This window comes from Homo sapiens, chromosome 7, assembly GCF_000001405.40.
Source record: "Homo sapiens chromosome 7, GRCh38.p14 Primary Assembly".
In the NCBI taxonomy this organism is placed as follows: Eukaryota; Metazoa; Chordata; class Mammalia; order Primates; family Hominidae; genus Homo; species Homo sapiens.
In genome coordinates this window covers 138,450,104-138,472,305 of record NC_000007.14, presented here as the reverse complement: position 1 = coordinate 138,472,305, position 22,202 = coordinate 138,450,104, and the positions used below count along the sequence as shown (strand labels likewise).

General features: G+C 43.5%; 1 protein-coding gene across 3 annotated transcripts in view, besides 6 other annotated features; it reads right to left on the bottom strand.

Annotated features, from left to right (window-relative positions):
- TRIM24 (tripartite motif containing 24) overlaps positions 1–12,047 on the bottom strand; it is a 129,738-nt gene extending 117,691 nt beyond the window's left edge. For 2 of the 3 annotated variants that reach the window (NM_015905.3, NM_003852.4), the window contains exon 1: positions 11,394–12,047. In NM_015905.3, the coding sequence (NP_056989.2) occupies positions 11,394–11,757 (364 nt within the window). In that variant the 5' untranslated portion in view covers positions 11,758–12,047. Of the gene's footprint in view, positions 1–11,003; positions 11,366–11,393 lie in introns of those variants that run through there. The other variant, XM_024446981.2, reaches the window with a different exon arrangement.
- Positions 9,428–9,722: a silencer, noted in NCBI's record as "tiled region #12555; HepG2 Repressive non-DNase unmatched - State 2:TssF, and K562 Repressive DNase matched - State 5:Enh". NCBI's record gives its function as "represses a minimal TATA promoter and a strong SV40 promoter by Sharpr-MPRA in HepG2 and K562 cells {active_cell/tissue: HepG2 | K562}" and the evidence as "EXISTENCE:reporter gene assay evidence [ECO:0000049][PMID:27701403]".
- Positions 11,176–11,655: a silencer, noted in NCBI's record as "silent region_18687". NCBI's record gives its function as "represses an Ori minimal core promoter by ATAC-STARR-seq in GM12878 lymphoblastoid cells {active_cell/tissue: GM12878}" and the evidence as "EXISTENCE:reporter gene assay evidence [ECO:0000049][PMID:35858748]".
- Positions 11,686–11,935: a silencer, noted in NCBI's record as "silent region_18686". NCBI's record gives its function as "represses an Ori minimal core promoter by ATAC-STARR-seq in GM12878 lymphoblastoid cells {active_cell/tissue: GM12878}" and the evidence as "EXISTENCE:reporter gene assay evidence [ECO:0000049][PMID:35858748]".
- Positions 11,896–12,678: an enhancer, noted in NCBI's record as "OCT4-NANOG-H3K27ac hESC enhancer chr7:138144373-138145155 (GRCh37/hg19 assembly coordinates)". NCBI's record gives its function as "activates a minimal SCP1, AML or CMV promoter by ChIP-STARR-seq in naive H9 embryonic stem cells {active_cell/tissue: H9 hESC(naive)}" and the evidence as "EXISTENCE:reporter gene assay evidence [ECO:0000049][PMID:30033119]".
- Positions 11,996–12,385: a silencer, noted in NCBI's record as "silent region_18685". NCBI's record gives its function as "represses an Ori minimal core promoter by ATAC-STARR-seq in GM12878 lymphoblastoid cells {active_cell/tissue: GM12878}" and the evidence as "EXISTENCE:reporter gene assay evidence [ECO:0000049][PMID:35858748]".
- Positions 13,082–13,592: an enhancer, noted in NCBI's record as "OCT4-NANOG-H3K27ac hESC enhancer chr7:138143459-138143969 (GRCh37/hg19 assembly coordinates)". NCBI's record gives its function as "activates a minimal SCP1, AML or CMV promoter by ChIP-STARR-seq in naive and primed H9 embryonic stem cells {active_cell/tissue: H9 hESC(naive and primed)}" and the evidence as "EXISTENCE:reporter gene assay evidence [ECO:0000049][PMID:30033119]".

The window sequence follows — 22,202 nt, the reverse complement described above, 5'->3', positions numbered from 1 at the left end:
TCTTTTTTTTTTTTTATAAATTCAGTAGTTCTCGTGGATCCTTTCCATGTCCATTTAAATGTTTTTAAGCCTGATTTATATAAAAAGAAAGTGAGAAACCTTCCTCAACTTTTTATTTTTTTTCTCCCCTTAAGTATTACCTTATCCCATTCCTCCCCACTTCAGAGTTGTCTAAACTTTCCAACTATGTCTTTTCATCTCCCTCTCATTGTTTAACCTACCCCAATCTGGCTTTCACTATCTATCTCTCCACCTATATGCTTTTCCATGGTTGGTTTTTTTTCTTTTTTTAGTCTTCTCTTACTTGACCTTGCAGGAGGAGCATGACCCTGTAAAACACTGCTGCCTTTGGTAAGAGATATAAGGGAGACTCTTCACCTATAATCAAAATAAAATAAAGATCTTCTGGTAGTCAGGATTCCTAATTCCTATAGAAGACATTTTTCTTTTAAATGTATTATACCAGGCCGGGTGCGGTGGCTCATGCCTGTAATCCCAGCACTTTGAGAGGCTGAGGCAGGCGGATCACCTGAGGTGAGGAGTTTGAAACCAGCCTGGCCAACATGGCGAAACCCCATCTCTACTAAAAATACAAAAATTAGCCAACTGTGGTGGCGCGCACCTGTAATCCCAGCTGTTGGGGAGGCTGAGGCATGAGAATCACTTGAACCCAGGAGACAGAGGTTGCAGTGAGCCAAGATTGCACCACTGCACTCCAGCCTGGATGACAGAGTGAGACTCTGTCTCAAAATAAATAAATAAATAAATAAAATAAAAATAAATTTATTATACTATGAGATGAGAACCTATAGATTATTTATATTAGAAAAAAAATCAGAAGAAAGTCCTTTGAGAAATAAGGTGGTTTCATAATGTCAAAGAGGATATGGCATTTGAAAAAGGTTTTGAAAGACTAGATGAAAAGCAAAAATATTGAGGCAATTCAGATAATAGTTATGTTTATTTTAGACACAAATATTTGAACATGTACTGTACATATACTACAGTGCTAGTACATCCTATACATAATAAATCATATTAGCGTAAAACATATAAGGAATAAAATCAAGATGAAATAAATATTTTTAAATGTTTTGCTAATCAAGATAGCTTCACACTATTGTCAACTAATGCTTTCAGATGCAGTATACACTTAATGCATGGTCCATCATTTGTAATGGAGGATGTCAGTCAATTTCAAAGAGTAATCTTGTTAATTTTGAACTTTTAGGCCCACTTCTTGTTAGATCTGGTTAGATAATCAGTTGTTAACCTCACAATAAAACTGATAAGAGCCTATAAAGTGCCAGCTCTGCCACTTTAATGTTATTCTACCTGCAAAGGAGTACTATCTTTATCATAACTGAAAATAAGACTTCTAAGATTCAAATAATTTAAAGCTGGTGAAAAATTAAAGCTCCATCAACTCCACACACTGATAACATGAAACACAAAATTGAGACAGTAACAGCTACAGCTTTCTATAGGACAGGGATCTCCTTGCCAGCTAATCCCCTTGTCAGCTAATTGCATATTCAGGTCCCAAGAATGACAGGTATACATCCATCTATACAACACTGGTGAAGTTACAGACTTAAATGGAACTGTCTCTGTCGTTAATTGAAACAAGCGATCACTTTTTAAGGTTATTATACATGTACCCTATATCCTACAACTTAGGGACTTCCCAAACTGCTGAAATTAAGGGGCTTTTGTGAGCAGCCTCCATATGGGACTTCCCTAGGAAATGAGATTAAGGGTTTTATGCCAGAGGCCTGGTAATGGCCTACCATAATCTTCTATTTTTTGACAGACATTTAGTTAAAAACAGATATTAAAACCCATAAACCTATTTTTACAAGTACATATAAAATTATGTTACAAAGACTGGGCGCGATGGCTCGCATCTGTAATCCCAGCACTTTGGGAGGCCGAGGTGGGCAGATCAAGAGATTGAGACCATCCTGACCAACATAGTGAAACCCTGTCTCTACTAAAAACACAAAAACTAGCTGGGTGTGGTGGCACACGCCTATGCTCCCAGCTACTTGGGAGGCTGAGGCAGGAGGATCGCCTGAACCCAGGAGGCAGAGGTTGCAGTGAGCCAAGATCACACCACTGCACTCCAGCCTGGTGACAGAGAGAGACTCCATCTCAAAAAAAAAAAAAAAAAAAAAAAAAATTATACTTGTAGGAGGCAAAAACAAACAACAGAGTCTGCAGTATCGAAATCCCATGACCTCTAGGGCAGCTGTGTACAGTTAAGATAGGTTATACAGTACAAGGAACTGCCTGACTGGAGGGGAAATGTAGACTTACAGGCAAATGGGGGTCCACATTCCACTTCCTAAGGCACACATCCTTTGGTCCTGTATGTCAAGAGGACTCTTAATTTCTAACTCACACAAATACCATTTGGGCTTGAGGCAGCCTTAATCCCTTCTCTCAGGATACTCCATACAGCATATGTGAAATGTAGCCATTTGACATGCTTATTCATGTGACTGTGACAAACTATATATCAAGTACTTTAAAGCTCAATTTCTGAAAAGAAGTTCTAATGTCTTCCCTCACCTGAATGGATATTTTATTGCATATGTGGTGTGCCACACCACATTACAGAATAAAATATAATGGCACTTAGTCATGCCATTTTGGAGACTACTGGTCTAAGTGTGTATTCAAAATGCTGGAGTAAAATTAAGAAAGGGCTCGGCAGCTCACACCTGTAATCCCAGCACTTTGGGAGGCTGAGGCAGGTGGATTACCTGAGGTCAGCAGTTCAAGGCCAACAGGGTAAAATCCCGTCTGTACTAAAAATACAAAAAAATTAGCAAGGTGTGGTGGTGTGTGCCTGTAATCTCAGCTACTTGGGAGGCTGACGCAGGAGAATTGTTTGAACCGGGGAGGTGGAGGTTGCAGTGAGCCAAGATGGCCACTGCACGAGACACTGTCTCAAAAAAAAAAAAAAAAATTGAGAAAGGGGTCAAGGTTACATTGCAGAAAGAAATTTGAAAAACTTGTGCATCTAGTTGATAGTTTAACTTCTTGAAGAAAAATTAAACAGAGAAATCTAGAGACCTAAAAATGAAAGTTTACAAATTACCCACATTTGGGTATATTTAAAAAGGTACAATGAAATTAAAAAGCATTCTTCTGACATCAGTTTTCCACCAGGAATAGAGTAACTAGTACTGAGACAAGCTTTCCTGTCATTAATTACTGTATATTACCAGGACAGATACCTTAGGCAACTTTTCAGACAATGGACAAAAGGCAATGCAGTACTGTGATCCATGAGGAAAGAAAAGCTCAGGTGAATAAGCCCCCTAAATCTTGATTCCCTAACTGAGGACTATTTTGTGATCATGGTTCATGGAGCTACAGCCAATGCAGAACATAGCAAAGGAGCCAGAGAGATTCGGGGATTGTGAACCAGATGGAATATATAGGGCAAAGCACTTGGGAGAAGGGAGCTGAACAGAGAAAGGGTGCCAGTAGTCTATGTAAGGGTTTTGCCAAGTCCTTGGCTGAAGGCTACTACGCATGTGCAGAGCAAGTCCATGGGAAGTTTACCAGAGAGCAGCTGCTAAGGGATTGAGAGAGAAGCAAAGATACTGGAGGCCAAGCAGGAACAAAGAGAAAACAAATAAAAAGATGTCAGTCTTAAACCTTGCCATACCAACAATTACATAAAATATAAATGGATTAAACAAAAGCAAAAATTAAAAGCTGGGATAAAAAAGTAAGACAACTATACGCTATCTACGAGATACTTTAAAAAGCTAGAAGTAAAAGCATGGGAAAAATATACCATTCAAACACATAGATTAAAAAAACAATGGCATTAATATCAGGCAAAGTAGACCATAACATAGCATTATAGGAAGCAAAGAACATTTCACCTTAAAAAAGGGCAGGCAATTCATAAAAGCTTCAAAATACCTGTAGCAAAACCAAGTGAGGTATATCTCAAGAATGCAAGATTGATTTAACATCTAAAAATCAACGTAATTCATACATTAACAAAAAAAGGAGACAAATTGCATGACCATTTCAATAGACACAGGAAAAGTACATGGCAAAATTCATCACCCATTCATAATAAAAATTCTCAGCATATTAAAAATAGAAGGGAACTTCTTCATTTTGATAATGGGCATCTATAGAAAACAGCTAACATATTAATGGTGAAAAATTGAGTGTTTTCCTCCTAAGATGAGGAATAAGGTAAGGAAATCCTTTCTCATTTAATACTGAAATTCAACTTCTAGTCAATATTGTATTGGAGTCCTTGCTGGTGCAATAAGAAGACATAAATTATTAAGAATAGAAAGCAAGAAGTAAAGCTATCTCCCTGTAGACTACATAGAAAATCCTAAGGAGTCCTTGAAACAAAAAAAAAAGATACTTAATAATCGAATTTAGCAAGATAATGGGATGAAACCAATAATCGTATTTCAATATACTACCAACAGTTTGAAATGAAAATTTTAAAAATATCATATACGATATCATTTAACATTATAAAATGTTTAATATTTATACTATGTAAACAAAAATTGTACAAGAATGCTACAATGAAAACCACAAGACAGTGCCGAGAATTTAAGAGATAACACATATTCACAGATTGGAAGAACCAATATTGTTAAGAACATTATGGCTGGGTGCAGTGGCTCACGCCTGTCAATATCAGCACTTTGGGAGGCCGAGGCGGGCAGATCACCAGGTCAAGAGATCGAGACCATCCTGGCCAACATGGTGAAACCCCGTCTCTACTAAAAAATACAAAAATCAGCTGGGCGTAGTGGCGCATGCCTATAGTCCCAGCTACTCAGGAGGCTGAGGCAGGAGAATCACTTGAACCTGGGAGGCGGAGGTTGCAGTGAGCAGAGATCACATTACTGCACTCCAGCCTGGTAACAGAGCAAGACTCATCTCAAAAAAACAAAACAAAACAAAACAAAACAAAACACATTCCCCCTTACCCAAATTGATATCTAGATTCAATGTAATTCCAATCAAAACCATGACAGACTTTTGTGTAGAAACTGAAAAGCTGATTCTAAAATGTAAAGAAATGCAAATGACTTCAAAGAATCATAAGAATTTTGAAAAAGAACAAACTGTCAAATTTCAAAATTTGCTGAGAAGAGTACTGTAATCAAAAAACATTATGTATTAGCTGAATGGACAAATCAATAAAGAACAGACCACACACAGATGGCTGATTTTTGTATAAAAATGCCAAAATAATATAATGAAAAAGTACTGTCTTTAATAAATGGTGTTTTAACATACAGTTTTTAAAAAAATGAACCTCAACCTCACACAAAAAATAACTCACAAAATGGATTACAGGTTTATATTTTAAAGCTAAAACTATAAAAATGCTGGGTTAAAAAGTGGAGAAAATCTTAGTAAACTTGGGGTAGGCAAAAAATTGTTAGATAGGACACAAAAGTCATTAACCATAAAATAAATTGATAAACCAGACTTAATCAAAATTTAAACCTTTAGCTCTTCAAAAGACACCAAGAAAATGAGCATGCAAGCCAGAGTCAATACCTGCAATACATGTATCTGACAAAGGACCTAGATATAGAATATATATAAAGAACTTTACGTTTCAATAAAAAGGCAAACTCCCAGCCAGGCGTGGTGGCTCACGCCCATAATCCCAGCACTTTGGGAGACGAGATGGGTGATCACTTGAGCTCAGGAGTTGAGAGACCAGCCTGAGCAACATGGCGGAGGTTGCAGTGGGCTGAGATGGCGCCACTGCACTCCAGTATGGGCAACACAGTGAGATGCTGTCTCCAAAAAAAAAAAAAAAAAAGCAACTTAAGTTTTGAAATTTGCAAAAGACAAACCAAAATCTCACCAAAAAAGAATGACTACTAAGCACAAGAAAAGATGCTCATCATTATTCATCAGAGAAATGAAAACCAAAACCATGAGATAGCTTTTCTCACCTACTAGAATGGTTAAAATTTAACAGACTGACAGGCCAGGCACAGTGGCTCACGCCTGTAATCCCAGCACTTCGGGAGGCCGAGGCGGGTGGATCACCTGAGGTCAAGAGTTCAAGACCAGCCTGGCCAACATGGTGAAACCCTGTCTCTACTAAAAATACAAAAAAATTAGCCAGGTGTAGTGTAATCCCAGCTGCTTGGGAGGCTGAGGCAGGAGAATCGCCTGAACCCTGGAGGTGGAGGTTGCAGTGAGCCAAGATGGCACCACTGCACTCCAGCCTGGGCGACAGAGTGAGACTCCGTCTCAAAAACAAAAACAAAAAAAACTTTTAAAGACAATACCCAAAACTGGGGAGAGTGTGAACAAACTTTGGAGAGAACTGCTGGAGGGTCTATAAAGTAGTACAAGCAGTGTAAACATACATTTATCATAAAAACAAGAAATTCCAATTCTAAGTTATTTCCTCAGGGAAATGACAATGTATCCACACCAAGACTTTTCTACAAATACCTTTAAGTTTTATTCATAATAGCTCCAAACTAAAAAATACTGATACCTACTAACAGGTGAATAAAAATATGTATATTTTTATATATATAGGACTGACAGGTAACACAGATCATTCTTAAATATTAATCCTTTGCCATTAAAGATTGCACTCATGAGATGATTTATACTTTTTGCCAAGAAATCAGTCCCAGAATAGTTACGTATCTTGTATACTGCCAGTTAGTAAAGAAATCTTGGAAAAGGGATTTAGTCTTATATTTTAACCCTCTCTAGACAAATAATACCTTTCAAAAGTATGTTCTCAGTATTTGTTAAAAATAGCTCTTCAATATTGTCTTTTAGGTAGAGAGGAAAAAACTGCTCTCAAACTCCCAGTTTGCTACTCATTAGCTGAACAGTACGTTAACAACACAAAATACTACACAATATTATAACATTTCTCTAAGATCAGTTTGTTTTCTTAACATACGTAAAAGAAAATCCATTTCCTAAAGTTTTGCCTCTCTCCTAGATATAACTGCATACTAAGAAAATGACAGTCAAGACTGAAGGAGTCATCCAATTTTAACTTGTGGTCATTCACCCTCATTCCTTCCAACATGTAGCCTGAGAAAAAAGGACAGTTAAACCGAAGTTTTAAAACAAATGTTCTCAATGGGAGCTTGGTGGCCAGTGTAATTGTATCTGAGCATTTATAAATTATACTTTTCTGCTGTTATTTGCTTCATTTTATTTCTCCTTTAAAACAGTTCAAACATTATGTTTACTTTTGTAAGAAAAATGTGTTAGGATTTTTTTTCCCCATGAAATTCATTTAGGATGACAAAGAGAGCATGAAAAGTATTTTATAGAAAGGGAAACTAGATCTGAAACAGTTTTAGAATACTGCTTGCATTAAAGAAACAATTCTAGAGTGTAACTGTATTATACCCTAGCATTCTGCAACTACGCCAGATTAGGTAGAATCAGATTTTCAGGAGGGAGGGGCCTAAAAATCTAAATTTTTTTTAGGTGTTAAAGTTTAGTGGTGTTAAAGTTTGAAAATCTCCAGTTTTTGAAATCTAAAAAGTGTATGAAATATAACATATTTGGCCTCAACAAACCTATTGTTTGGCCTATAGCATGGGCCCATAAATTAATTGTGTGTGTGTATATATATTTATGTGTATAAATATTCACACATTTTTAATTAGTTGACAATATCTAATACTAGAAAAATTTTGTTCAAAAATCCAGATTCAGAATTTGCATTAAATAAATAAAAGATCCTTCAATACTTGCCCTGCACTCACATGACAAATTGCTATAGCTAAGAAGAGTCTGCCCCCCTGCTTGTACTCCCCATCATTTCCTACCATTTTACCCCAAGGCTCACACAGTTCTCCATCCCAACTACCTATTTAACCTTTGTGTAATAGATATTACTTGACTTGTGATGCCTGTACTCACAAATTCAGTAGGAAAATGAAGAACTGGTTTGATCAAATGAACCCGTTATTTAGTTAAGCAATGTCTAAATTTGGCTGGCTGCGGTGGCTCACACCTGTAATCCCAGCACTTCTGGGGGCCAAGGCAGGCGGATCACAAGGTCAGGAGATCGAGACCATCCTGGCTAACACGGTGAAACCCCGTCTCTACTAAAAAATATAAAAAAATTAGCCGGGCGTGGTGGCATGTTCCTGTAGTCCCAGCTACTCAGGAGGCTGAGGCAGGAGAATGGCCTGAACCCGGGAGGCAGAGCTAGCAGTGAGCCGAGATCGCACCACTGCACTCCAGCCCGGGCGACAGAGCGAGACTCCGTCTCAAAAAAAAAAAAAAAAAAAAAAAGTCTAAATTTTTGCTTCAGCTAGTATTAAAATAAGTATGCAAGGAGAGATAAAGGGACAAAATACCCAAGTCACTAAGACTCAGGATAGCATTTTTAATTTTTTAAAGATAACTTTAATTCTTTTTAGGTGTACTTTTAAGTACAATTTGTTAAAACGTTTTTCCTAGTATAAAAACAAAAACATCTTCCAATTTAAACGCTTTCTTTGAACTCTTGCGTACAATACAGCATAAAGATAAAAAATATTCAGATTGTAATTACACAGAACATTTTGAGAAGTATGGAATCACAAACTTGTCTCAGAATTGAGGATGATAACTTTACGACCCATGTTCTCATTAATTCAAGTCCATATGTCATGGCCAGGCAAACAATATGTCATAATTCTATAATCATGCACAATTCAGATCTTAATTGGCTACAAGCCTGTTTAACCATTTAAAATATAAATGGAAGAGGACGGGTGGGGTGGCTCACACCTGTAATCCCAGCACCTACAGAGGCTGTGGCAGGTGGATCACCTGAGGTCAGAAGTTCGAGACCAGCCTGGCCAACATGGCAAAACTCCGTCTCTACTAAAACAAAACACAAATTAGCCAGGTGTGGCGCCCAGCTGAGGCACAAGAATCGCTTGAACCAGGGAGGCAGAGGTTGCAGTGAGCTGAGATTGTGCCACTGCACTCCAGCCTGAACGACAAAGCGAGGTAGGAAGGTAAGAAGGTAGGAAGGTAAGAACGCAGGAAAGAAGGAAGGAAGGAAGGAAAAACCAACCTTAAACTGTGTCTAAGAAATAAGAACAGGCCAGGTGCGGTGGCTCACACTTGTAATCCCAGCACTTTGGGAAGCCAAGGTGGGCGGATCACCTGAGGTCGGGAGTTCAAGACCAGCCTGACCAACATGGAGTAACCCCGCCTCTACCAAAAAAAAAAAAAAAAAAAAAAAAAACACAAAATTAGCCGGACGTGGTGGCGCATGCCTGTAATCCCAGCTACTCGGGAGGCTGAGACAGGACAATCGCTTGAACCTAGGAGGCAGAGGTTGCGGTGAGCCAAGATCGCACCACTGCACTCCAGCCTGGGCAAGAAGAGCGAGACTCCGTCTCAAAAAAAAAATAAATAAATAAATAAATAAGAACTAAGGTTTAAGCTTTCACCTGTTCGAACTTTCCAGTCGTGGGCCTCTTCAGAGCAAACTACTGCGAAGGATCTGAGAGTGTCCAACCTGCAAGCTAACAAATAACCTTACCAGTTTCATGGATGGTGACAGAAGACATTCAAGGGTCAGAGACACAGGGCAGTTTGTTTTTTACTCACAGGAACAGCATAAGCCAAAGCATCATCAAGATTTTTGGCCGGGCGCGGTGGCTCACGCCTGTAATCCCAGCACTTTGGGAGGCCGAGGCGGGCGGATCACGAGGTCAGGAGATCGAGACCATCCTGGCTAACACGGTGAAACCCCGTCTCTACTAAAAATACAAAAAATTAGCCGGGCGTGGTAGCGGGCGCCTGTAGTCCCAGCTACTCGGGAGGCTGAGGCAGGAGAATGGCGTGAACCCGGGAGGCGGAGCTTGCAGTGAGCCGAGATCGCGCCACTGCACTCCAGCCTGGGCGACAGAGCGAGACTCCGTCTCAAAAAAAAAAAAAAAAAAAAGATTTTTGCACTAGTTCTCAGAACTCCAGGTTCCCATTGGACAACGTAAAGAGAGCCAGTTGACATCTACACAGGCAGTTCCTTCTCTACAGGAGAGGAACCCTAAGCTTAGGGAACCCTAATCTTTTAAGATGGGCAGTAAGCATGCCTACCCTTTCGCTCCAGAGGGAGACGTTATTCTTATTATACTGGATAATATGTATCCCCGCCTTTTGCTCTGGTGGAAGACACTATCTCTATCTTCCAAGGCTGCTCTTTAGATAATATCCGTGAAAAAATAGAAACAAAGGGCAGTCAGTATCTCGCTGGCAAGGGTGCTGGCAAGAGTGAAGAAACGGAGACCCACGGAAAACTGTCTCCTACAAGTGGATACTGCTCCTAACATGCAGTCAAATAAATGAGTCTCAGCCCACAATCTATTTGAAGTATCCATTTCATACGCCCCTTGACCTAGCATAATTACTTAATTAGCATTTTATTTCAAACTAAATCAACTATTTCCTCTAAAAAGTATTAAAAATGCTTTTCCAGTTACACTGTATTTTTAAAAAGGAGGTGCTCAAATATTTGCAATAATAAAATTTAAAAACCGCCAAGTGTTCTACCCGAAACTGTACTCAAACTTACTTTAAATGTTTCAAACCTGTCAAAGTTAGCAATGGAACACCTGTCAAAAGTCTAATTTTACAGTAATAAACACCACAAAGAGAACAGTAACTTCCAGCTTTATCTATAAAATACCAGAAAACCCAAATCACTTTGTATTATTTCTCTTCGCCGTCTCAAAATAAAACCTTTGAAAGAGACACACAACAAAACAACGTCTCTTGGTTCCTTTGTCCCCAGCAGAGGAGAGGGAAGAGAACTGGGAACTCATTAAGGTAAAGAGCCCCAAACATGCAAGATAAGAAATAAATGACATCCGATCTGCAATCAATCATCAAAGAAAGTCACCATCACTTCATCTTCATCCCTCCCTTCTCCCCTGCAGCTCAAATAACGTGAGTATAGACGAGATGATCAGGATCATATGGACCTGGACAAAGCTTTGTGGAGGCAGCGGGCGGGTAGCAGTTAACTGGCTGCAGCCGGCAAAGAACCCGAGATTCCGGCTGCAGGAGACTCCGACAGAGGTCTGCAAAAGTGCGAGTGGCAGGGGCCGCCCGGCTGTTGAGAATGCGGAGCAGCGGCGGCGGCGGCGGCGCGGTCAAGTCCACAGCGCCCGGGGAAGTTGCTGGCCGAGCGCGACACGCCGCAGAGCGCGGGCCCTCCATGTCACCGTCGCCAGCACAGACCCTCCTGCTCGCCCCTCCCCCGCCGCGCACCCCGGGCGGCGGCGACATGACAGCGGGTCGCGCCGCACAAGGGCGCCCGCCCCCTCCTGGCCCTCTCCCCGGGCTCCCCAGCGGCCGCGGCCGGTTCTCACCTTGGGTGGCGAACGGCGACGAGCCGCTGACCGGCGAGCCGGGGGCAGGGACGGGTGGCGGGGTCTCGGCCGAGCCCAGCATGGGCGCGGGCAGCATGAGGTAGCGCTGGGGCGCGGGCAGGCAGCGCTGGCAGAAAGAGTGCAGGCAGGGCAGCAGCTTGGGCGCCCGGCTCTGGATGTTCTGGTGGCACACGGCGCAAGTGTCCAACAGGTTGAGCCGGGCCGCCTCGCCGCCGCGCTCCGAGTCCGGGCCCTGCCGACTCTCGGCCTCGTTCTCCCCGCTCGGCGCCGCCGAGGGCCCCCCGGAGGCCGCAGCCGAGGCCGCTGCCGCCGCCGCCACCGCCTTCTCCACCGCCACCTCCATTGTCCTGCCCTTGCCGCCGCCGGGGAAGCGAGAGCGCGGTCTCCGCCCGCCGCCCCCGACGACCTCCTCCTCCTCCTGCGGCTGCTCCTCAGAGGCCGCTCGGTGGACTCGCGGCAGCGCCAGCGAGGGAGGGAAAGCAAACCGGGCGGGGGAAGCCTCCTCAGGCCCACGGGATCCGCCTCCCGAGTGGCGCGGCCGGAAGGAGGGTATCTGTCAGCGGAGACCGTTCCTCGCACCGGGGAGGCTGCACCCCGTCCGCTTCGCCAACCGCCGAGGCGCTCGTGGAATACGCCCAGCCCGCCCTTGCCTCCCCGCCTTTCTCTTCATCCCCCTGGCCCACCTCAGGCCCCGCCCCCGCCCCCGCCCTCCCTCTCCCAGCAACTGAGGCTTCGGTGTGGAGCGCGCCGCCCAATAGCGGCCGCGCCTGGCGAGGGGGCGGGACCTGTTGGAGCCCGCGAGGCTCCGTCGGCCGCGGCGGGAGGTTGGGAAGTGGGAGGTGCTTGCCCAGCCCCGCCCCCTCCGGACGCCTGAAATCGCGGCTTCTGATTGGGCCTTTGTGTATGTTTCCTCCTCTGAAAAGATTAAGGGTTCATTTGTTAACGACCATCCGCCTGATTCGGTCCGCGGTGTTAGCTCCTCCTAGGGGGCGGGACCTCACTTGTCTACTCAATGCCGTTAATTAAGTAACTGCTTGGAAAACTGATTTCATTACTGGAGACCTGGTCTTGTAGGAGGAGTAAATATGGTCGGAGGGTCACAGGAGGAAGGAGTGGAGGTACTGAAGAGCAAACAAGGAAATAATTTTTTAAAATACTGTGTGAAAGAGGTACTCTGGAGGCAGCAGGGATATTGCAACCTAATTTTACTCATCTCTAGAATGAATGAGTATGAAGAATAAGGGGGGGAAGTTCTCGTGCAAGTTGGAAATTTTTAAAGGGTTTCCCCAATGAAAAAGGTGAAATTAATTTTTAAAGTCAGTGATTTGCTTTTTAAGTGACTAAAAGTGGTTCGTTTTCCCAGGAATTAATACAGATTGACAAATGTTTTTATTGCATAAATATAGCATCATTAAGCAAAAATAAACCTCAATACTGTTACCCAAATAATTCATAACTTCAGGATTCTTTTGTATTTCCTCCCTCCCTCTTATTTTATTCCCTCCCTCCCTCCCTCACCTCTCTACGCTGATATCAGAAGTTACGCACATTTTTCACTCAAAAAATGGCGCAGCTTTTAAGGAACTTGAAGAATAGAAACGGAATGAAGGAAACAAGATTTTGTAACACGTAACTTTAAGAAGTATTTACCTTTTTTTTTTTTTTTTGTCAATACTAATGAAGCGGTACTGGACTTTAGAGAAAGATGGAGTGGGTCATGAAAGGCTTTGCTAAAATCACAGTTTTCCTGGAGGACTATATGGGATGGCAATGGGGGAGGGCTAGGCAACGTAGCCTTCCTTCAAGACCTTGCCCTTAAACACAACCTCCGTAGGCCTCAAGTGAGAGGTTCTTTTACTTAATCACAAGACATTCAACAGCTCTTCCCGCCTCCCCCACCCATTGGTTCCTGTTTAAGCTTGGGATTTTTTGTTTGTTTGTTTTTTTGCATGGAAGTAGCTCTTAAACCTTAGTTTGCATAAGAATAACTTGAGAAGCTTAGTGAAAAACAGGTGCTTGGGCCACCTCCGTATTCAGTTATTCAATTTTGATAGCATCTCAAGTGATTCTGACCTGGGTGGGTCCAGAAACGGAAGTCTGTCCCACAGGTCTTCACCCACTCACAAATCTCTCCACGATTTCGTCCGTATATGCCTCTCAAGCTGAAGTCGCCGCGACTCTCATGCTTCATGCTGCAGCAATTGTAAGGCCACCCTGCTTTGTACACGCTGTTCCCTTTGTTTTAGTTCCTTCAAAATTCTGACTTATCTGTTATCCCCTAAAGCCACCCCAAAGTTGAACACTCCTTCCCCAGAATTCAAACCATATTGTATATTTTTGAAGCTACACCTTGAAAACATTCACATAATAGGAATGGAATTTTGTATTCAAAAATCAACTCCCTTAATATGCTAAAAATTCATTACATAGGTGGTATACAGGATTCAAGCCTACTAAAGACAAGTCCCTCTTATTCCCCAGATGATGGTGGTAGGGAAGGAAAACTGAGAAGTAAAATTGAATAGGCTGGTTTTGAAAGAATTCCATGTAATTTGATCAAACCCACTAGCTTAAAGTTTTTCAAATCACCATGGTTTTACAGAAAATGATCTTCCATCGTTTTAGCCTTCCTAATTTCACATGAGTAAAACAATCGTACATTGTACTTTGTTCACATATATGGAACTTCAAGTCCAGAAAATGAATTTACTGTTTGTTTTTCTTAATCATATGATTTCTTTATTTGGATATTGTTGCCCTACAAAGCGTGTTCAAATATATTTCACAAAGATCCACACTACCAATAGATTACTCTTCCTTAATTACAGCTCTCATCCTATGTCCCTCCCTTATCCCATAATTTTCTGTGGCTCTCCACTGCATCCAAAGCTCTCCACAATTTTATTCCCATCTGATCTTCTTGTCTGATGTTACTGCTTTCCCATATCCATCCTGTGCTTCCGCCTAATTGGATGATGCGCTGTTTCTTGTTTCTTAACTGCACCACTACCACCACCTATGAGAGAGGAGATCAAAGCTGTCTGAACTGGAAGAGAAGGGCATCAGCAAGGAGAATAAAAGCATCAGATGCTGGCCGGGCGCAGTGGCTCATGCCTGTAATCCCAGCACTTTGGGAGGCCAAGGCAGGCGGATCAGCTGAGGTCAGGAGTTCAAGACCAGCTTGACCAACATGGAGAAACCCTGTCTCTACTAAAAACATTAAATTAGCCCGGCATGGTGTTGCATGCCTGTAATCCCAGCTACTCGGGAGACTGAGGCAGGAGAACTGCTTGAACCTGGGAGGCAGAGGTTGCAGTGAGCCAAGATCGTGCCATTGCACTCCAGCCTGGGCAACAAGAGCTAAACTCCGTCTCAAAAAAAAAAAAAAGCATTAGATGCTAGTAAGATTTCTCATCCCACCCCTCAAAAGGTGCTAGTGGGTGGAAATTCTATAACTTCCAGGGACACTTAAGAAAATCATTTTTCGGCCAGGCACAGTGGCTTGCTTAGGCCTGTGATCCCAGCACTTTGGGAGGCCGAGGCGGGCGGATCACGAGGTCAGGAGATCGAGACCATCCTGGCTAACACAGTGAAACCCCGTCTCTAATAAAAATACAAAAAATTAGCCGGGCATGGTGGTGGGCGCCTGCAGTCCCAGCTACTCAGGAGGCTGAGGCAGGAGAATGGCGTGAACCCGGGAGATGGAGCTTGCAGTGAGCCGAGATCGCACCGCTGCACTCCAGCCTGGGTGACAGGCAAGACTCCGTCTCAAAAAAAAAAAAAGGAAAAGAAAATCATTTTTCGGGACTGGGTGCGGTGGCTCACGCCTGTAATCCCAGCACTTTGGAATGCCAAGGTGGGCAGATCACCTGAGGTCAGGAGTTCGAGACCAGCCTGACCAACATGGAGAAACCCCATCTCTACCAAAAATACAAAATTATCTGGGCTTGGTGGCACATGCCTGTAATCCCAGCTACTCAGGAGGCTGAGGCAAGATAATCACTTGAACCCAGGAGGTAGAGGTTGCGGTGACCTGAGATCGCGCCATTGCACTCCAGCCTGGGCAACAAGAGTGAAACTCCATCTCAAAAAAAAAAAAGAAAGAAAAAAGAAAATCATTTTTCAGTAGAACTCTGATTGTGAGGCGTGTTTAGACATACAGGGTCTGAACTAACCCCTTCACCCAATTTCTTATAGATTTAGAGGAAGAAGGAAAAGATTCTCAGACTTCCAGAAGTAGCTGAGAGGTCTGGATGACTTGAGTCAGGATAAGGAGAATGCAATGAGTAGGCACCAAAGGCCATCTCAGACTATCTCAGTGGGGTCCATGGGGAGGCCCACAGTCAAAAGCCAATGGAAACCAAGCACAAGGGTGCACTGCTGTAGTCCTCACTTCTCAGGAAGCTGAGGTGGGAGGATCACTTGAGACCAGGAGTCTCAGGCCACAGTGCACTATAACCATGCCTGTGAATAGTCACTGCACTCCAGCCTGGGCAACATAGCGAGATTCAGTCTCTAAAAAAACGAAAACAAAACCTGTATTGTTAACCGGGTAGGGTGACCCGTGCCTGCAATACCCCCTACTCAGGAGGCAGAGGAGGGATGATCACTTGATCTCAGGAGTTTGAGGTCTGCCTTGGCCACATAGCAAGACCCAGTTTCTTAAAAACAACAACAGAAAATATTTGCAGATGTTTTATTATGGGGGGGGGGCGGGAATGGAGGCAAGTCACACTCTACATATGCCACGGTAAACCAAGAATGCCTCCCAAAACCTAATGTGTTTCCCCACATATGCCATGGCCCTCTTAAACCCTTGGACCTTCAAATCAGCGATAGATAAAAGGGAGAATGAATATGGTAGTGATTGAGTTTAGAACTTAAATGACCAAAACCACAACAAACAAAAGCAAATTATCTCAAATATGACTACATCAAATTTTCTACCATCAGGAAGATTAAAAATTTAGATAATTTTTAAAAAATTTTGTAGTCAACATAACACACTTCTTGGATGTGCAATAAAGGGTTAACTTAGCAAGCTTAGGTTACTCAAATGGTGCACATTCCAAAGAGAGGATTGACCCTTGACTCGCTCCTGGGGGGTTACTGCTGCCCTTTTGGAATATCCTGCCTGATAAGAGGAGAGCTTGAGAGTTTGGGCCATACTGTATTAATTTGACCAGAGAGTTTATGCTCGGGATGTGACCTATGGCTCACACCTGTTTTATATACGTGAGGCCCTTGGCCACTATATGTCAGTTTGATCTCTGGGAAGCTGGAAAGTGAGTAGCCAAGACCAGTCACATAGGTGCTGCATGCCTACAGGATCTCCAATAAAAAACCTGGAATCCAAGGCTTGGGTGCATTTCCCTGGTTGGCAAGACTTCATATGTCTTGTTACACATTATTGCTGGGAGAATGAAGCACTGTCTGTGGGGCTGTGCCGGAGGGAGCAACTGGAAGCTCGCTCCTGGCTTCTCCTGGACTTGGTCTATGCACCTTTTCCCTTTTGCTAATTCTAACATGTATCCTTTTTCTTTTTCTTTTTGAGACAGAGTCTTGCTCTGTTGCCCAGGCTTTAGTGCAGTGGCGCGATCTTGGCTCGCTGCAACCTCCCCCTCCCGAGTTCAAGCAATACTCCTGCCTCAGCCTCCAGAATAGCCGGGGCTACAGGCATGCACCACCACACCCGGCTAATTTTTGTATTTTTAATGGAGACAGGTTTTCTGCCATGTTGGCCAGGCTGGTCCTGAACTCCTGGCCTCAAGTGATTCACCTGCCTCGGCCTCCCAAAGTGCTGGGATTATAGGCATGAGCCACCGTGCCTGGCTTCAGGTACAGTTTATTACAGCAAAAGGATATAGATTAGGCCTGGCGCAGTGGTTCACGCCTGTAATCCCAGCACTTTGGGAGGCCAAAGAGGATGGATTACCTGAAGTCAGGAGTTCAAGACCAGCTTGGCCAAAATGGTAGAAACCTCATTTCTACTGAAAATACAAAAATTAGCCAGGTGTGGTGGCAGGCGCCTGTAATCACAGCAACTCAGGAGGCTGAGGCAGGAGTATCACTTGAACCCAGAAGGTGGGGGTTGCAGTAAGCTGAGACCTCGCCATTGCACTCCAGCCTGGGTGACGAGCAAAACTCCATCTCAAAAACAACAACAACAACAACAACAACAACAAACTGTACCTGAGAGTATAGCAACTTTTCCTGAATCTTTTGAGTCCTTTTAGCAAATTGTGGAAACTAAGGATGATCCTGGGAACCCCCTACATAAAGGACATGTAGTTTCTCCTACTAGATTGTAATTCATTTAGACTAAGAATCATTTATGCTCCTATTTCTTTTTTTTTCTTTTGAGACAGAGTCCCGCTCTGTCGCCCAGGATGGAGTGTAGTGGCACTGTCTCTGCTCACTGCAAGCTCTGCCTCCCAGGTTCACGCTATTCTCCTGCCTCAGCCTCCCGAGTAGCTGGGACTACAGGCGCCTGCCACCGCACCCGGCTAATTTTTTGTATTTTTTTTTTTTTTTAGTAGGGATGGGGTTTCACTGTGTTAGCCAGGATGGTCTCGATCTCCTGACCTCGTGATCCACTTGCCTCGGCCTCCCAAAGTGCTGGGATTACAGGCGTGAGCCACCGCACCGGGCCTATTTCTTTAATATCTCAGAAATATCATGGAGACCAAACATCTATAACTTTCTTCCTCATGCTTTGGTCCTCTCACCCTCTGTGGTATTCTCAGTATTTGCCTCAATTATATCTCCTTTCCTCAAGTATTTAGCTTTTTTGAATCTTCTACTGAAATGGAAGAGCCAGGTGCAGTGGCTCACACCTGTAATCCCAAAACTTTGGGAGGCTGAGGCAGGCAGATCATTTGAGGTCAGGAATTCAAGACCAGGCTGGCCAATATGATGAAACCCGATCTCTACTAAAAATACAAAAATTAGTTGGGCGTGGTGGTGGGTGCCTGTAATCCCAGCTACTCGGGAGGCTGAGGCACGAGAATCGCTTGAACCTGGGAGGTGGAGATTGCAGTGAGCCGAGATCGTGCCATTGCGCTCCAATTTGGGAGACAGAGCAAGACTCTGTCTCAAAAAAAAAAAAAAAAGAGAGAGAGAGAGATGGAAGGCTCAGGACAGATAATTATAGGAGATATTTCTTTCCCTCACTGCTTCCCCTCCCCAGTCTTCCCCTCCCCAGGTAAATAATGTCTTCTGAACATTTAGTGTGGAGGAAAAGAGCCAGGGAGTGGCAGTGGGGGGTGGGGGTGGGAGTGGAGGTAGGGCAAGAGAGGGGCATAGCTATTCCCCTCTCTGAAGAACAGAAGTAATGGAGTGGTAAGCTGTAACTGAATATTGACTAATGGGATTCTGGTCAACTTACCGACTCTATGGATGGGCAATCACCAGAAGGGCTCGGGCTAGACTCAAGCAGCACTGTTCTGGGAATATCGGGGCAGAGTGAATCCCTACATGTTAATGTTCTGCCTTTTCTGTGGAAGCACTTTTTACCAGGTTTTATTATGAGGGTAGGGATTGCAGAGAGGAAAAAGAGGAAAAAGGCAATGGAAAACTCAATAAAGAGTAAGCCAATAAGAGGATCAAGAGAAGGAAAAGAGGGTGAGAATGAGGAAGACAATGAGAACAAATGAAGGAAAACAAATGGAGTAAAATAATGGTTGCAGATAACATAAGAAGAAATGAAAAAGAAAAACAGAGCAACTAGGAGCTGGAAAATGAGGACATGCATCACACTCTATGAGGGGCAAATAGTGAAGAGAGCCAGGAAGTGAGTTGGATGAGTGGACCAAAGTGGGAGATTGAAAGGACTCAATGAAAATGATGACATGGTTTATTCACAGGAAATAATTTGTAAGCCAAGTATCCTAGCACAACACAACAAAAAATGCAGCAATAGCAGAAGCAATTTCTCCTTTTAAAGAAATATTTTCCTTGGAGGTAGAATTCATTGTATGCATTTGTACTTTTGAAAGTGACATTCTTGGCCAGGCGAGGTGGCTCACGCCTGTAATCCCAGCACTTTGGGAGGCCAAGGCGGGTGGATCATCTGAGGTCAGGTGTTCGAGACCAGCCCGGCCAACATGATGAAACCCCGTCTCTACTAAAAATTCAAAAAAAATTAGCCAGGCTTAGTGGTGGGTGCCTGTAATCCCAGCTGCTCAGGAGGCTGAGGCAGGAGAATTGCTTGAGCCCAGAAGGGGTTGGTGGTGGGAGTGAGACAGAGTTTGCAGTGAGCCAAGATCACACCACTGCCCTCCAGCCTGGATGACAGAGCAAGACTCCATCTCAAAAAAAAAAAAAAAAAAAAAAAAAAGAAATGACATTCTTTTGGATTTTTGAAACATTTAAGTTTACTTATATGAGACAAATCTTCATTTGTTACATAACGTTTGTTTTCATGGTGGTGATATACAGCAACTTTTATTTTATTTTTATTTTTATTTATTTATTTTTTTAGATGGAGTCTTGCTGTGTCACCCAGGCTGGAGTGTAGTGGCCACGATCTCAGCTCACTGCAACCTCCGACTCCTGGGTTCAAGCGATTCTCAGGAGCCTCAGCCTCCTGAGTAGCTGGGATTACAGGCGTCTGCCACCATGCCTGGCTAATTTTTGTATTTTTAGTAGAGATGGGGTTTCACCATGTTGGCCAGGCTAGTCTTGAGCTCCTGAGCTCTAGCAATTCGCCCAAACTCTGGCTCCCAAAGTGCTGGGATTACAGGCGTGAGCCACCATGCCTGGCCTATCAACTTTTATTTATGCCTGCTTTTCTGCTTCTCTGTTCTATAATTTGTTCTTTTCCATTTTGAGACAGGGTCTTGCTCTGTTGCCCAGGATAGAATGCAGTGACACAATCACACTCACTGTAGCCTTGACTTCCCTGGTTAAGTGATCCTATTACCTCAGCCTCCCAAGTATCTGGGACTACATGCACTTGCCACCACACATAGCTATTTTTATTTTTTGCAGAGACAGGGTTTTGCTATGTTGCCCAGACTTGTCTTGAGCTCCTGGCCTCAAGCGATCCTCCCACCTCGGCCTCCGACAGTGGTGGGATTACAGGTGTGAGCCACCTCACCGGCCTATAACTTATTCTTAATGTAGACAACCGAGAGTCCCAAAGATGCCTGTCACTGCATCCCTAAATCTTACTACCACAGTTCATTGTTACTTGGGGAGCATCTTTTTAGAGTCTATGTAACTATACTCTATACATATACACCTGCAATACATCATTGGAATTACAATACATATAATTTTAGTAAGCTTTTAACCCAAAGGTTTGGACCAAATTGTGCCCATTCCCCCTCCCACCCACCACCACCAACACCACCACCAAATTTATATATAGAAGCCCTAATCCCCAATGCAACTGTATTTAGATCTTTAGGGGTAAAGTTAAATGAGGTCATCAGAGTGGGGCTGTAAAAGGAAACTACTTTTCTTCTATATTCACAACACTTCTGGGCACGAGATGTGTGGGTTTTCCACACCAAGGAATTCTCCAATTTTCTGCAAACACCAACTGGGTGTCTAAAGATTCAATTCAATTCTGGCATTAACTATCCAGAGTTAATGTCTGAATCCACAGGCTAAAGATTCAGTATGAAAAGACTGCCCCTCACTTTATTTTTTCTTTCTTTTTTTATTTTTAATAGAGATAGGCTCTCACTGTTTCCTAGGCTGGTCTCGAACTCCTGGCCTCAAGCCATCCTCCTGCTTCAGCCACCCAAAGAACTGGGATTACAGGCCACTGCACCCAGCCTGCCTCCCACTTTAGATGCCAAATGCGAGTCCCTGGTGTCTAGTGCTTCCAATCAACTTGGTTACAAATTGAGGGCTCTCACAGCCCCTTACTCAGGTTCGATAATTTGCTAGAACAGCTCACGGAACTCAGGAATGTACTTTACTTATGTTTATTGGTTTATCATAAAGGATAAAACTCAGGAACAGCCAAATGGGAGAGATGTGCTGTGTAGGGCAAGGGATGGGGGTGGGGAGGAGATGCAGAGAGTTTCCATGCCCTTCTGGGAGTACCACATTCCCAAGACCTCCATGTGTTCATCAACCTGGAAGCCCTCCAAATCCCGTCGTTTAGGGTTTTTATGGATGCCTCATTACACAGGCATAACTGATTAAATCATTGATTAGTGGTGATTAGGTCAATCTCCAGCCCCTCTCCCTTTCTCAGAGGTCAGGGTGTGGGGCTGCAAGTTCCATCTGTCCAGTCAAGTTGTTAAATATGAGTTATAAATTTCTCTTCAAATAATTAACATGTCAGTATATTCAATTCTTTGCCTTCTACTTTTAAATTTAACTTCCTGGTAAAGCAATCTTTCTGATTACCTACTCCACCCTGACTCATTCCGATTACCTGCTCTGTCAAAACCATTTTTCCCACCAAACCGCTCACCCCATCACTTTCTTTAAATTAGCCAATTGGGGCCAGTCGCAGTGGCTCACGCCTGTAATCCCAGCACTTTGGGAGGCCAAGGCGGGCGGATCACCAGATCAGGAGATCGAGACCATCCTGGCTAACACGGTGAAACCCCATCTCTACTAAAAACACAAAAAATTAGTTGGGCATGGTGGTGGTCGCCTGTAGTCCCAGCTACTCAGGAGGCTGAGGCAGGAGAATGGCATGAACCCAGGAGACGGAGCTTGCAGTGAGCCAAGATTGCGCCACTGCACTCCAGCCTGGGAGACAGAGCAAGACTCTGTCTCAAAAAAAACAAAAAAAAAAACAAACAAAAAAATATCCAATTG